Source organism: Homo sapiens, chromosome 4 (assembly GCF_000001405.40).
Source record: "Homo sapiens chromosome 4, GRCh38.p14 Primary Assembly".
NCBI classification, from domain to species: Eukaryota; Metazoa; Chordata; class Mammalia; order Primates; family Hominidae; genus Homo; species Homo sapiens.
In genome coordinates this window covers 182,138,099-182,152,388 of record NC_000004.12, presented here as the reverse complement: position 1 = coordinate 182,152,388, position 14,290 = coordinate 182,138,099, and the positions used below count along the sequence as shown (strand labels likewise).

Below are 14,290 nucleotides of genomic sequence, written 5' to 3'. Positions count from 1 at the left end.
TAACAACTTTAATTTTTGTTTAAATTAAAATTTATTTTAAATGTTAAATATGTTAGTAGCTCCATAGAAGAAAAACAAGTTGAAATTTAAAGCAGAAATATCAACTTATAAACATATTATAGATAGAAAATGCCTGTTCTATTTAAATTTGAGGGATAACATCCTGGCAGAGGTTCTCTTCAGCTTTCACCCCTTTCTGAACCCTTTCTGAACTATTAAATTCATTAATAGTTCTGTAAGGCAACAAATGTACTTTCTTTCTCCTAGTAGGTCTCATTATTTTCAAGAGCTTTTCTAATTATTTTGGAATTTTCTGGAAGTATTAGCTAAAAGATGAGGAATAACATTTCAGTTATTTTCATTGTGTCAACTTGTTCTCACTATTACTGATACCATCATAAAATTCAGCCATATCCTTTTAAGAGTGCCTTATTTTTGTGACAATCAAGAGACAAAATATGGCTGTGTATACTGCAGTTTTCATTTCTTTGCAATATTATAGTTCATCACATATCTATAATATGTATTTAGATTACTAGATTCGTTTTTATTATTTGCAGTATTTTAACCTACACAACTATTCTCATCATTACACAAAATTTAAGTGAAAAAATTTTAAAGTTTTAAATATTCATTTCATTTTTGCTTATAAATAGAGAAAAATGTAATAACACTGCCCAAGATGCTTTTGTTTCTTCGTTTTTTTGTTTTGTTTTGTTTTTTTGCTCCTAAGAGAAAAAAAGTCATAGATTTATTCTTCAAGAACTATAGGAGTGATAGCTTTCTTTAGCTGGAAGTTATTATAAATTCTGAAAGAAATAAAAGTTACAGCTGGCTTCCCCTGGTTTTCATAATTATTTCAAATGGCAAGCTCTGTGCCAATTTTCTTAAGAGCTATTTAAAAGAACCAGTCACTTGCCAATTTTTTTCTACCTACGTGTTGACAAATTCCAAATTCTCTGATAAAAAGTATTAGAATAGATGTTACTCTTTAAAAAGAACATTAGGTAGACTGAAAATAAACAATTAGTTTACTTTTCAATAGCGTACTTTTTACCAAAATAAGCATAATCTCATATTCATATATTTGCACATGCTTCATGCAAGGTATTTAACATGGTTCACACATTTCTCCCTGTAAAGTATATTCTAATAATTCAATCCTGTCTTTTCACTGTCTGCATAACGTACCTTCTAGTATGTAGTCCAAGAACATAAACTCTCCTAAGATACCATCCCAGTATAGAAGCCACATGCTGGACACAAGAGGATGCTGGAGACGCTCTTGAGTGAGGACCTCTTCTTTGGAAACGCCCCTATTGTCAAAAAAGACACCTCCTTATGCAGAGAGGGGGGTCAACAATTCTAGTCACAATATTAGTTGAGCATAATTTAACTCAAGAGGAAATAATTCATTCTAATAAAAAAGTAGCTTTTCTGTTTGGGGGAGGGAACAGAGAACCACAAATCCACGTCACCCTCTTATTCAGAGTGTGCTGCTATCTTCATAGACAGCCACTGCATTCAGAGGTGCTACGGAATCGGACTGAAGGAAGACAGTCACTACCAAGCTGTTAATCCTTTCTAAGTAATGGCAACCTGAAGAGGTATTAGCATAAGAATTCTAACAAATATTACTAGTAATTAAATAAAGGAAAGAATGACTAAAATATATTAAGAGCTGTATCTTTAAAGGTAAGTGGCCTTTATAAGTTACCTCCTAAATGGTCTTTTTAAATAATCAGAGTCGTGTGGGTTTTTTTAAGTCTCTACATAGAAAACTATAACTTGATTTTCAGTCTTATAAACAAAGCAAGCATGCCTATAAAATAGAGCTCTTAGTACATTTTCTTTTTTCCATCAGTATAAGCAACTGTATACAATATTTGGAATGTCTTGGATTAAATTTAAAAACTGATACTCTGGTTCTCCTGCAGGGATTGAAAATACATATATTTAAAAGTGAAAAAATTTACAAGTTAATTTTCTTCTGTACTTACCCAATTAAAATAAATGACAAAATTTTCCCTTTAGTCTGCTTTTCCTGTCACACACCCTGCTACATACAGAAAATGCTCAAAGGGCCATCGCTCATTATAAAAGATATTCAATTTCCTATTTTCTCCTCTTTCTCTCTCTTTCTCTTACTCCCCTCCCTTCCTCTTTTCCTTTCTTCCTCCCTTCCTCCTTCCCTTATCTTTTTTTGGTTTTGAGGCAGACACCAAGTAGACCCAGTTATAAAATAGCTGGTTATTATTAATATGATCCCATCCCAGGGCAACCAAATCACATTATCCCCACCTCTCCCCAACTACTCTAACAGAAGTAAAAACTACTCCACAATATTTGAGAATATACTATCAACAAACGCAATTTTTGTATCCCATGACTTTTATATAATTATATAAATGATACAATTTTATATCATTAAATGCAAGTGTGAATACAGGCACTATGTCTTCCCCAAGGTATTTTCAGAAGGTATCACTGTGTTTTTGCATGCTCTAGTACAAACTACAGAACTATGAATGTGGGTCAAATAGTAAGTAATAATAGTAATAAATGCCACATCTCCATAAGTAATGATTGACTCCTAAACTTACAAAAAAGAATATAAGCATAGTTTAGTGTTATGCTACATTTCACTCCACACATGCTCCTAAACATATAAGAATTACCTATTTTCTGAAGGAAGTCAAGGAACTCGGTTAAGACTGCCACCTATCACAAACTTGTTTGAAAAGTCAGTGCTACCCGATCCTAGCTCTTCCAAGATTCCAAGAAAGTTATCAACAGGGAAGTAAAATCTCATTATTATTATTATTATTACATGATATGGTTTCAGTCATCCACTCATATGACTTATGAGTTCATTCTATGATACTGACATTAATTTGCAGTGACTAATTTAAAATAGAAAGACATGGGTTTGAGTAGATCACTATTTTTAGTAAATTCCATGTAGCTGTTCTAGCTAGGCAATCACCTGGGTTATTTAACCAAAACTACAGAAAATTTTATTGCAATTCCTTCAAAAGAATGAATCCTATTGTAGTTTCAGTGTACGAAACATCTGTGTATCTCAGGGCATGTTTCTGCATTTTGATAGTTTATACTCTAGCACTTGTGTAAAATAACATTTTGAAAATGGTAATTTAACTGCATTATTTTAGCATTTAAAACTATTTTAAATGGATGTCTTAAGCTGGAAAAACACCAATCCGATGCCAAGAATCTATCATTACAGAGAATAAAATAAAGATACATAGTTCTTATCAAGTTTTTTTCCTTCCTGAAAGTAAAGAGTAATGCCATTGTGGGAAGTTTACACGCACTAGAAAGCAGTTACATCTTTCTTTAGAAATCATATATACTACGGATATACGTTGATATATATGGATATATATTGATATATATGGATATACTGTGGATATATTAGAATGCTAATCTATATTAATCTTATATTCTGTGCTCCTAATCTTTTATTTGATTGGGACAACATGTATCACAATGCAATATGAACCAAAGCCCAAGAAAATCTTAAAGTGGTCTTTCAGAAGAGACTTAAAAGCTGATAAAACCAAAGATGACCAGGTACAGATAAGAAACAAATGCAAATATCACAGTGGGGATGATAACGTTCACCATCTCTTCACATTTCCATTAAGGAATTACCTCCACATGCATTATCTTTCATTGTCAGGATTACACCATCTTATGAAATAAAGTTATAACACATGCACAAGAGGTCCATCCAAAATTCTAAGAAATCTCTGAAAAACTGAACTAGAATGTTAATACAAACAAAAAAGGAAATAACCTAGATGGATTACAGTTACTATTAATGACTCAAAAGGCCATAAAATCCTTTGATGGGCAAGAAAATATGCCTTGAGGCATATTGCATTTTGGGAAAATAGGCTATTTGAGTTGAATATATGTTAATGAATTGCTTCCTCATGTTTTATATAATTCTTAGAAAAAGTTCAAATTAGGTCCCCAATAGGATGTTTTAATTATGAGAAGCAATCTTTTGAAACTCATACAAGCCATCACACTCGTTTGGAAACAAATGACTTTTCAAGATGGAGAAGTATCACTATCAATCACCAACAAGTTAATTCTACATAATAAGGCAGGTTTGGATGCAAACTGATCCATTGTGGAATGCTGTATCTAAAATTGATTACAACAGCACTCAAAATGAACGCAGCCCTCCAAACCACTTCTTTGCTCAGAAACATTAATCTCAATTAGAAGGAGAGCTTCATAATGGTCATGCTTGGTATAAAAAAGTATAAAATAAATCAGGTTTTATAAGACACAACAATTAGTTTTCAGACTAAGGTTTATTTTATTTTATTTTATTTTGAAGCACAAAATTTCCATCAGGTCTGTTAAACCAGCTGATGTTTCCAAAAATAAGTTTTAAATGTATTCTAAAAGAAGCTTACGTAAAATAATTTTTAAAACTTAGTTGTCGAAACTTTTAAATAACGTAATATTGTGTTATCTTTTCAACAGACTTTACTCCGAATGCATGTGTTCAATTTTCCTACGGGCTATCATTCCACTTTACAAGGCAACTATGAACACAACACTAACTTCAACTAGAAATTTAAAGGAATATGTAATTGGTTATGGACCACGGTAAACGTTTGGTGGCAAACTATTATATTCTTTGCTCATATTCTCAACCTAAGTAAAAAAAAGTATGCCCTCGAAGTCCAAACGGATATCTGACTATCAAACGAAACACAGGGTAGATGAGCAATGTGTAATTCAACATGCTTAACAGGTTGCACAGCTTCCAGAAAAGGGCAGACAATTCATCACAGCTGCTGAACACACTGATTCAAATAAATATAAAACTTGGATGATATTCAACCACCATCCAGAAATCAAATTTTTACAGGGTAAAATAAAGTTTAATAAAAAGGAGGCACATGCATTTATTTAAATAACCAATATTAATAAACTAATAAACTTGGCTTTGTTGGGCTTTCATATCAGACAATGACCATGCTCTGAACTTATTCCCTAGTATCCCTATAGGTAGGATAAACTTCAGCATCTCCAAACATACATTAACAGCTATTGCAAAGACATCATTTTTTGTACACCGAGCCTAACGGTGATTCAGTATTTCTGACAGGTCACTCTACTCACAACGATAGCCACGCGCTTCTTCCTGCTATCTTCTTTGCTTGACTCTTTACAAACAGAATAATTACTCTTGGCTCCCAGAAGCAAAGCTAAGAAAGAGTAGCTTGAACTTACTAACTGGATCATTATTGTTTAGCTAGGTTTCCTTTCTGAATAAGTTTAAAAGTTTTCACTCTCTTTAGGAGCTTTTTTCTATTCAAAGATAAGCATCCTTATCTTTCTTTGTCTTCACCCTAATAAGGCAGGTTCCCTTTTCTAACCAAAAGACTGATGACACGCCTACAGAATCATAGTAAGAAAAGCCTCAATAATTTACCTAAAACATCTTTCTAGAAAATAAACACAGCCATGCAAAATAATCCCGTTTGGAGGAATAACTAGTCACAATTCCATAAATCTATCTGCTTTATTCCCAATAATCAAGTAATCCTCATTAGGGTGCATAGGTTGCTAACATAAAGCTATTGGCACAGGGGGTTCACAGAGTTTTCCAAATATATAAACGTTAGCATGGTGATTAGTACAACTACATTTTTTATAAAAACTGTGCAGTGCATGTAAAATGTGTGTTTGATTTGAACTACTTTTTCTAACTATTCTTTTCTAAGTTATTTAACATAAGATATATTTGTTTACTATTAGAAAAAAATCTTTGATTAAGAGGAATAATAAAATTCGTGTAAGAAAAAAAGAACAAGATTGTTAAGGGAAATGCAACAGGAAGAGATACAGACAATCCTGAAATACACAATAGAATAACTAAACTCATTATAAACTCCTATCTTTGAAGAATTTAGGAATAATTTGTGAATGCCATGACATTTTAAAGTGGGATTAGCAAGTCTTATTACTGAACTAACCTCTCACTCTTAGATCAAGAATTAAATATTTACTCTGCATTTAGAATTACAAATCCAAACTTTCAGGGCTCATACAAGAATTTTATATATTAAGATATACATGCTCGAAGTTTTAGATAATTAAAAGTGTATTAAGGAATGCACAAAGCAAGATTGTTGAATTTATAAAATCTTGTTTTAATTGAAATATTAAAATAGATAATTATTATTACACAGTTGCTCTTAATTCTAAAGTCAGTCTGTTCTCAATATATTAATACATAAAGACTACAAATACTTCTCCAAGTAGGCAGTGGGGAAAAAGGGATATGCGTCATTATTTTAAAGAAATTCACTAAGGGATCAAATCACCAAGTTCTGTTCAGTTACAATACCATCTTTTGGGATACTCTTCCAAGCTTTCCAGAGATGCCATATCCACCTTTTTTCTTTTGACAAGAGAAGGGAAAGGTAATGCCTCAACATATGTCTATTTCTAGTGAAAAGACCACCCAGTGGATTCTGCCAGAGTCTACCAATGTTTGACAAAATACATTGTCAGAAGATAAGAAATAGAGCATGATGAAGAGACAGTCCTGTTCTCGGGCATCCCAGCCGTCTGGGGCCCTGTAAAAAGTCTAGGACAGCTCTCAGCCTTTCATTTCCATTGCACCTCCTCACACGTACCTGGAAACTTTTCTCTACCTCCAAATTACAGTGACTTGGGGAAACACACGTGTGTGATGTATTACACGGTACAAGTACTTGTTACCCTCTCTCTACAATAAAAATTAACAAGTTACCACTCCAGCTACCTTAAAGGTGAGGCAGTAAGAATGGAATCCAAGCTGCATAGTAAGATGCTCAGCAAAGATCAATCAGACACAACCCGCCTCAACCTAAAATACGTGAAGCTCTTTGTAATCGGTTGTAAAACACGAGAGGGACTTAGAATCTCAGTTGCAGGCTCATAAATTCGTAATTTTTGAAACGCCCAGCTCAGGATATTTTGTGTGTGTTTCCAACCCCATCCAGAGTTTCCCGATCAAGTTTCAGCCGTGATCCACCACTCCCCACGCTACCCCTCGCCCCGCACTCTCCCTCCTTCACTCCTTTTCAACTTGGCTCCCTGATCGCTGCAGAAGCCTTCTGTCCCCTGCCTGCCCCGGAAAGCGGTGACATCCCGGGGCTTTCCGCTCGCTGGAAGCCCCCCAGGATCCTGTTAAGACGCCCCCGCAGAAGACGCGGGGCCTCGCCACACATCGGGGGCCGAAGAGGACCTGGCGGGCTCCCCTCCCCGCCCCCACTGGGCGCCCAGCCTCCGGACTGCCTTCCTCAGGGACCCCGGGGCTCCCCAGTACGGGGGCGCGGCGCCTGGCTCCCCGGGCGAGAGGCGCCGGCGAAGTTCCCACCTGAGCCGGCGGCCGGAGGTGGCTGGCGCGAGGGCGGGGCGGGGACGGGGAGGCCGGACCGTGGAGAGAATCCGCGCGCTGAGAAGATGTCCCCGCGTCCGCCGCCTCCCGGGGCCACGCGCCGTCCCAGCTCGCGCCCGCCAGCTCCCGGCGCCGCGGCCCGGCACTAGGACCCCATAAAGGAAGGAGGGCGCGCCGGCGGCGGCGCCGCACTTACCGCGCTCGGCTCGCCCGCGCCGCCGGCTCGCTCCCCGGCAGCAGCCGCCGCGTCCGCCCGAGCCGCGCGCACACCGCGCCGGGCCAAATTCAAAGGAGCCGGGCGCGGGGGAGGGGGGCCCCGCCGAGGGAGCGGGGAGCGGGCGCCGGCGGGGCGGGGGCGGGGAGGGGGCGCGAGTGTTACAACTTCCTTCCCTGCCCGCCCCCGGCCGCGCGGCCCGGGGACGCGGGAGGGGAGGGCGCCCGCGCGCCAATGAGTTCACTTTCTTTCTCTCCCCCGCGCTCCCCCTCTCCCCGCCCGCCGGCCCCTCCAGCCTCCTCCAAGGCGGCGGACCAGGCCGGGCCGGAGTTTTCGGGGTTCAGCCCGCGAGCGGGAGGACCGGGGAGGCGAGGGAGGAGGAAGGCGAGAAGGGCCAGGTGAGGAGGCCCGCGGGACGCCCGGCCAGGGAGCGGCATCCAGGACCGTAATTGTGCGGCGGGGGACGCGCCGGGCCGAGTGTGCCCGAGCCCGGGCGCGTACACGTGTCCGTGTGTGTGTGTGTGTGTGTGTGTGCGGGAGTGTGCGAGGGAGAGGAGGAGAGGAGAGGAGCCTACCATGCGCTTCCCCCGGTGCAGATCGCGGGAGAGCCCAATCACGGGGCGAGCTGGACCTGGCTGTGATCATTTATAATCCTTGACTCCTCCGCTCCGCCACTTGTCAAGATGACAGGTACTTTATTTCTTCTTCTTCTTTATTCAAAAAAAGAGATTCCCCGTTTACTGCCTTTTTCTGTCAAATGGGATTTGCCGGACTGAACCACGTTCGCCGCCCCTCCCTCCTTCCCTCCTCCCGGCCGCGTCGGGTTCGGGAAAGCACCGAGGCTCCCATGCTGTGACCAATCAGTGCCTTTACTACTCTCGCCGTGATTTAGGGGTCATCCGTGAATAACACTTCACGCTGATGAATGGCTCTTGCCGGCTTTCGGCTCTGATGAGGGGTCTGCCCGCCGCCGATTGAAAACACTAATGAACTTACTGCGCCATTTGAAATTCACACGCACCAACAAAATGGGGGTACGTGCGTGGGGGTCTGTCCTTTTCTGCTGCGGGTGGCGGGGAGGCGGCCCTGGGGGAGGGGGCGGGTAATTGCTTTGGACTTAAGTGGAAACACTTCTCTGTGTAATCAAACCTCTAACCTTCTTAGAAAACTACTTTTCTTGATCTTCCGTAGGGTGGGCATTTCAGGTCAGCTGAGTCACCCGAGGAGGTGGCAGTGCAAGACACTGCCGGGAAGACGGATTCCGAGGCAGAAGGGTGTAATTAAGGATTTCCACCCCCGGTAGGCGGCCCGTCCTTTGCAGAGCCTCTGAAAATGACCCGCGCCTTCCTTTCCACAGTGTTCTTTCGTCCGAGACCGAAAAGCGCAAATGACCTTTGGACAGGGAAGGGAGGCAGTAAACACTCAGACTTCCTTACCAGCCCCTGGTGGGCACTGCAGCAGAACAATTGTCTGCCCCCCAGGTTCAAGCACCTAGGCCTCCGCCCCGCATCACCTGGCCAGGGGCGGACCCGGGAGTCCTCCGAAGGCTCCACTCCCCACTTTTACTACTCTTCTTTCCTCTCCATTCTCCCCTCAGATTAGCGGCCGGACACTGTCCCTGCCTCGATTTTGTTTGCTGTGGGAGGGAAAAAAAAAGTTTGCTGCTCCTCCCAAGACACTGGCCACTTTCTACTCACTGAAGTTCCCACCGCAGCGCTGGCTCCCGGCTCCCTAGCTCCCGCCCCCTGTCTGCAGGAAAGCCCTCCCCCGGAGCTTCCGAAACTGCTGGAGGTTCCAGAGTTTTGTAGCTCCGAATGGGCGACCTGAGCCGAACCGCTCTCTGGCTGGGTGGTCGGCGGGATCCTTCAGGCTCCTTTCGGGTCCGGGACGGGGCGGCGGCAGAGGTGGGGCGTGCGTGCTTGGGGCTGCCGAGTGAGTGCGGCTCCCTGGTGCGCGCCCGAGCATCTCCCCGCCCTCTCCTGGGACCAGCAGTCTGCCCGTGGAGGGCTAGGAGCCCGCGACCAGGCCTGCCCCGGCCGTCGCCAACCTGTCCTTGGAAGCGTGGCGGAGACTGGTGCGCTCTCAGCCTCGTCGCGCCAGCCGCCTCGCGCCACCCTCCACTTTCAGCTTCAGAGCAGAGGATTCCGCCGACCTCCACCTGTACCTGTACTCGGCCGTTAGGAAATCCACTTGCATTTTTAACTACCGTGCAGAACCAGAAACAGATCGAGCACTGGGAGAACAAGGACGACGCCTCCTAGGAAAGCCTGAACCTTTATGTTAGTTTATCCAAAGTTTGGGCTAGAAGTGAGGAGAATCCCTAAACTCGAGGTGGTGTGCCCAGACCCACAGCCCGTGTTCCCGAAGTTGCTAAGTGCCCGAGCGCAGCGCGTTAAGTAGAGAAGTCTTGGTAGTAAGCGAACCCGACCCGGCTCTCGGGGCGCTAGTGACGGAAAGCAGCACGCATATCTTTGCGGGAAGAATCTAGAGTCGCCCTGGGATAGATCCATCTCCTTCTGCCACTGAATTTCACACTTGAAAAAGATAAGGTCATGGGGGCGGATGAATGATATCCCTCACTCATTTAGCCATTCTTATTATTATATAAAAAAAAGGCTTGTCAATTATGAAGGTGTGTCCCAGATATTACATGAAGATCATGCAAACTACTTGAAATTTGAATCCGGACATGATCGTAAGGAAACTCTTTCATAAAGCACTTTTGTGGCCTAGTTCCCACACACACACAAAAGTATTAGGTCTTTAAAACTTTTCCAAGTAGTAAGTGAGACTCCCTCTTACTGTCTACGAATACACAATAAAGAGATGAGACACTGCCCCAATCCTAAAGAGGCCAGAACTGAAGTGCTACATTGTGTGAGTTAGGGGATGCTTCTTTTTTCCAGCTCTTTTTTCTAGAATCCTCATTACAGCTAACGCTGGTAATAAAGGTAGGAAAACAATAGAACTCATAAAACTTAGAAATGGTAATAAATCTTGGCTCCTGTCTCTAGCCCAGTTCCTTCTTACATGAGATTCAAAGTTTTTCAGTATGCAATGCTGAACGTTCACACTATGGTTGCAAAATAGAAAAAAATACTCTAGAACTCATTAATACGGCCCTGCGCACTCTATGCCAGGCGTCGCTGGTGGACAAAGCGCGCAGGGGTCCTCCTCTACGTCTGCCTGCGCCTGTAATCCAGGCAGCTTACGTGTGTTAAATTTGGGTCTCTCTCTGTCTCTCACACAAAGAAGTTCCATCATTTGAGGCCGTTAGGAAAAGCTGATGTTGTGCAGTGCCAAACTACCACACGCTTCCTCCTTCGGATGAATCCCTGGAAAGCAGAGAGGCAGCTCGCTACGTGACCATCATGCTTTTTACCTCACTGAGCTGTTGTCAAGAGAGGGCGGGGATGGCGGGCAGCTCACGTCGTGCCCTCCGCAGCAATAAAAACTGGAGCGGGAGAAGAAATGCAAGACATCGCTGTCTGTTTTGCAAGCCTCTGGCCGCTCTCAGCAAACTCTGCCCGGCGCGGCTGGTGACTTTGCGGTGTGAACGCAGCCGGTCGTGCTCGGGATAATGGGACCGAGCTGGCGGCATCGCCCTCCCGTGGGCCCCTCTTGCCACACAGATGCGCAGCTCTCCAAAAGGAAAATGTGGCCCAGCAACCCTCGCCTAGCCCTAGTCCTAGGAATGCATGCCTGGGGCCTTTGGAAGCCTCTCAAAGGGCTGGGGGGCGGGGGGGAGGGATATAATGGGCCGAACCTCTGGATTCATTTTGGGGAAGAGGAGACAGGTTCTTGCCCCACTACTGAGGCAAGGCCAACAGCACCCTGCCCTGCTGCTCCACCGCCTCCCCGCGGGTCAAGTCTCAGCCGAGTGTCGCTGCCCACCTGAAGGTGACACCTGTCCATTTTAGTCAGCATCACATGCGCCTTCCCTTTCTCCCCTTTGGGGTCTGTCCGTTTTCTCCTCCTGTCCTAAAGAGCCAGCTTGGAACTGAAGGGGCCGGGTAGCAGCTGTTTGTGCCTCTTGCCCGTGCAGACTCGAGGGTCTCCGCAGCCACTTCCTCCTTTAACACGCGAGGCTTTCAGGCGTGCAGAAGGGGACCGCCGGGTCAGGCAGGTATTAGGCTCTCCAAGGACACTTGTGGACATCACTGGAGTTTACCTATTGTTTGGACTTTATTACATCTGCTTTAGCAAACGGAGGCATGAGCGGCCTGTCTGCTGGGTTCAAACCCAGTTGCTGCCCCGGCTGCAACCTCTCCCACTCAAGAGACCCTAGGAACGATGAGGAACGGGGTAGAAATGACCAGGGGAGCCAAATCTCAGGTACCGAGACCTTCCAGCTCACCCCTCAGGCTCAGGAAAGCCAATAACCCACATATGCCCAAAAGGAGCTTATGTCTCAACTGAGAACAGCAAATAGGTGATGGGCCACTTTAGAACAGAGGCTAAAGGCTGGTAGCCACTGAGCAAAACCCAAATTCTAGGCACCTGAGGTGTTTCCCTTACACAAGTGCCTTCACAGGTAGCAAGCAATTAATCTGCAACAGTGAACAACACTAAAACTTAAATTTTACATGGAAGTCTCTCAAGTAGACAAAGTTATTATTGGGTGGGGTTTTCCCCCCACTGGCAAAAAAATAACTTATCCCTTGGCTGTTAGATTGAGGGAACTATAAAACAAATATTTTAATTCGATCACTGACAAAGTCATAAAATTCAATGACTGTTTGTAGAGGAAAACATGCTTTCATTATCTTAATTAAAGCAAGATAAGCCTCTCTCAATGTGCATGCATTTTGGAGCCACTGAATGGACTGGTGATGAGACGAAGCAACCTTTAATTGGGACCATGCTTCTCCAGTACATTCGTTTGTATTCCATGGTGTAAACCGGGCCTTACGCGTGGCTCCGACCTTCGGTGGAAATGCATTTGCGTAGCACCACCCAGGGGCTCCCTTGCTTTGGCTAGAGCCTCATAAAAGACCCCAGGTTTTGCGAAGGATTTTGAACACCAGCGTCTTTTAACATGTGGAACTTTCGGTTTTGGTTTAGCTCTGTGAACGTATTTAAAACTTGCTACATTATTCCACAGTGAAAGTTGGAACCTTTTTAAGAGTTATCATAGAGTGCCTTTTAACATCTGTCATATTTTCTATAAACAACTTTTCAGTGAGAAGCGTATATAGTGTACTCGAGGTAGGCATTAGCTGCTGGCAAGGTTTATGATACAATAGTGACACTACAGGACAATTTTTTAGTCAAACAACACCCGTTAGATATTTCAGGGTCCAGCTTATATGTTAACTTGTAAATATAGGTTAAAAATATAGGTATCAAGTGACTAAATTCAGTATCAGACAAATTGAACATCTTTTTATTTCCCAGAAGTGCCCTACTCTTTCTCCTCCCTTTGGTGACCTCTTAGTCTGGAATGCTCTGCATCCGGGGCCCCTGGAACACATAGTTTTTAAAGTACCTATTAGTGATACTCTCCTCCCGTTGGCAGTGCTTCCACTGTGTTTTCTGCATGTAATAAAGGATGGCACTGTTTTTTGCATAGGTCTTTCCTAATAGCTGAGCACTCTTGGAGTGTAGGGGCTCAACCTTATGCCTCTTTGGACACACAAGCCTAGCCCATGGGCTGGCATATAGGAGCTGCTCAATAAATGTTTGTTGAACGAATGAGTGGATACACGAATAAAATATTTTCATTGTCTTTAGCCCCTCTGACTTTCTTTTTTAAACAGGGGTATGTCATAAATAAAATTTACCTTGAAAATGCATTTAAGTACACTGTTCTACTTCTCTGACCATGAAGTTTTTAATGGGACATCGTTTTAAAATTCTGGTCATTACAACGAACCACTTTTGACCTTGGTTGACTTTTCTCAGAATCATAATGCGAAGTAAAGACAAAAACAATGAGAAAAGGCAAAGAGATCAAATTTTGGTTTTCTCTTTTTCAGTAGGATATGATGTTTATCGAAATTTGGAAACAAATTGTAGCAAGCACCTATAACATGTAGATACTCATGTTTTTATATTAAATATGACATTATTTATAAAACCCTGTCGTCCTCCAAATTCCCTTTGGATTTTTAGTGGTAAGAAGTGTAGAGCCTAAGATGACTGCTTTTCATTTCTTCAAGACAAGGGTTCAGCTGGTATTGGGGAAACAATCTTTGTTTGTTCCTGTCTGCTCAGGAGGACTGTTTCTAATTGATCTGGCATGGAATTTAGTTGGAGATGTGTATGTTGCAACTGAAGCGCAGAGCCTGTGTGCTTTGTAAAGTGATAACCATATGGGCCTTATTTGAAACATTTGAGGATTTTCGACATTAACCTGGGTTAAATTGAGCTATAAATTCAACTCAAATGTATATGTCCTGACAAATTCATCATCACTTTGGATAGATTCAATCCATGCTTCCCTCAGATTAATAAAGATGATGACCGCTTATCACACATGCAAAGATTCGTCGTGATAAAGTACCATAATGTTGTACTTTGCACTGTTTAAATGCAAATTGCCCATATTAAGCAGACCTTTTCTACTGTTATCACTTTCAGTAGAATGGAAATGTTTAAAAATGATCTCTGGGTAAAGAAAAGGATATATAGTCAAA

General features: G+C 43.1%; 1 protein-coding gene and 1 long non-coding RNA gene across 23 annotated transcripts in view, besides 2 other annotated features; one reads left to right on the top strand and one right to left on the bottom strand.

Annotated features, from left to right (window-relative positions):
* Positions 1-14,290, bottom strand: part of TENM3 (teneurin transmembrane protein 3) — a 1,355,412-nt gene that overhangs the window by 650,636 nt on the left and 690,486 nt on the right. For 8 of the 21 annotated variants that reach the window (XM_017008387.3, NM_001415970.1, NM_001415968.1 and 5 more), the window contains exon 1: positions 7,635-7,730. The exons of 7 other annotated variants lie outside the window; for them this stretch is intronic. The gene's annotated coding sequence lies outside the window, so the exon portion shown is untranslated. Of the gene's footprint in view, positions 1-7,634; positions 7,731-8,227; positions 8,427-14,290 lie in introns of those variants that run through there. 6 more of the 21 variants (XM_017008386.2, NM_001415969.1, XM_047415937.1 and 3 more) reach the window with 1 other exon arrangement.
* Positions 6,629-7,617: an enhancer, noted in NCBI's record as "H3K27ac hESC enhancer chr4:183065925-183066913 (GRCh37/hg19 assembly coordinates)". NCBI's record gives its function as "activates a minimal SCP1, AML or CMV promoter by ChIP-STARR-seq in primed H9 embryonic stem cells {active_cell/tissue: H9 hESC(primed)}" and the evidence as "EXISTENCE:reporter gene assay evidence [ECO:0000049][PMID:30033119]".
* On the top strand, positions 7,874-13,731 carry TENM3-AS1 (TENM3 antisense RNA 1). Of its 2 annotated transcripts, NR_125905.1 has the most exons (5): positions 7,874-8,050; positions 8,249-8,342; positions 8,545-8,686; positions 8,844-8,951; positions 10,905-13,731. It is a non-coding gene; the product is annotated as a TENM3 antisense RNA 1 (long non-coding RNA). The 2 variants fall into 2 exon arrangements; NR_027107.2 differs by having other exon boundaries at positions 8,844-13,731.
* Positions 10,572-11,378: an enhancer, noted in NCBI's record as "H3K4me1 hESC enhancer chr4:183062164-183062970 (GRCh37/hg19 assembly coordinates)". NCBI's record gives its function as "activates a minimal SCP1, AML or CMV promoter by ChIP-STARR-seq in primed H9 embryonic stem cells {active_cell/tissue: H9 hESC(primed)}" and the evidence as "EXISTENCE:reporter gene assay evidence [ECO:0000049][PMID:30033119]".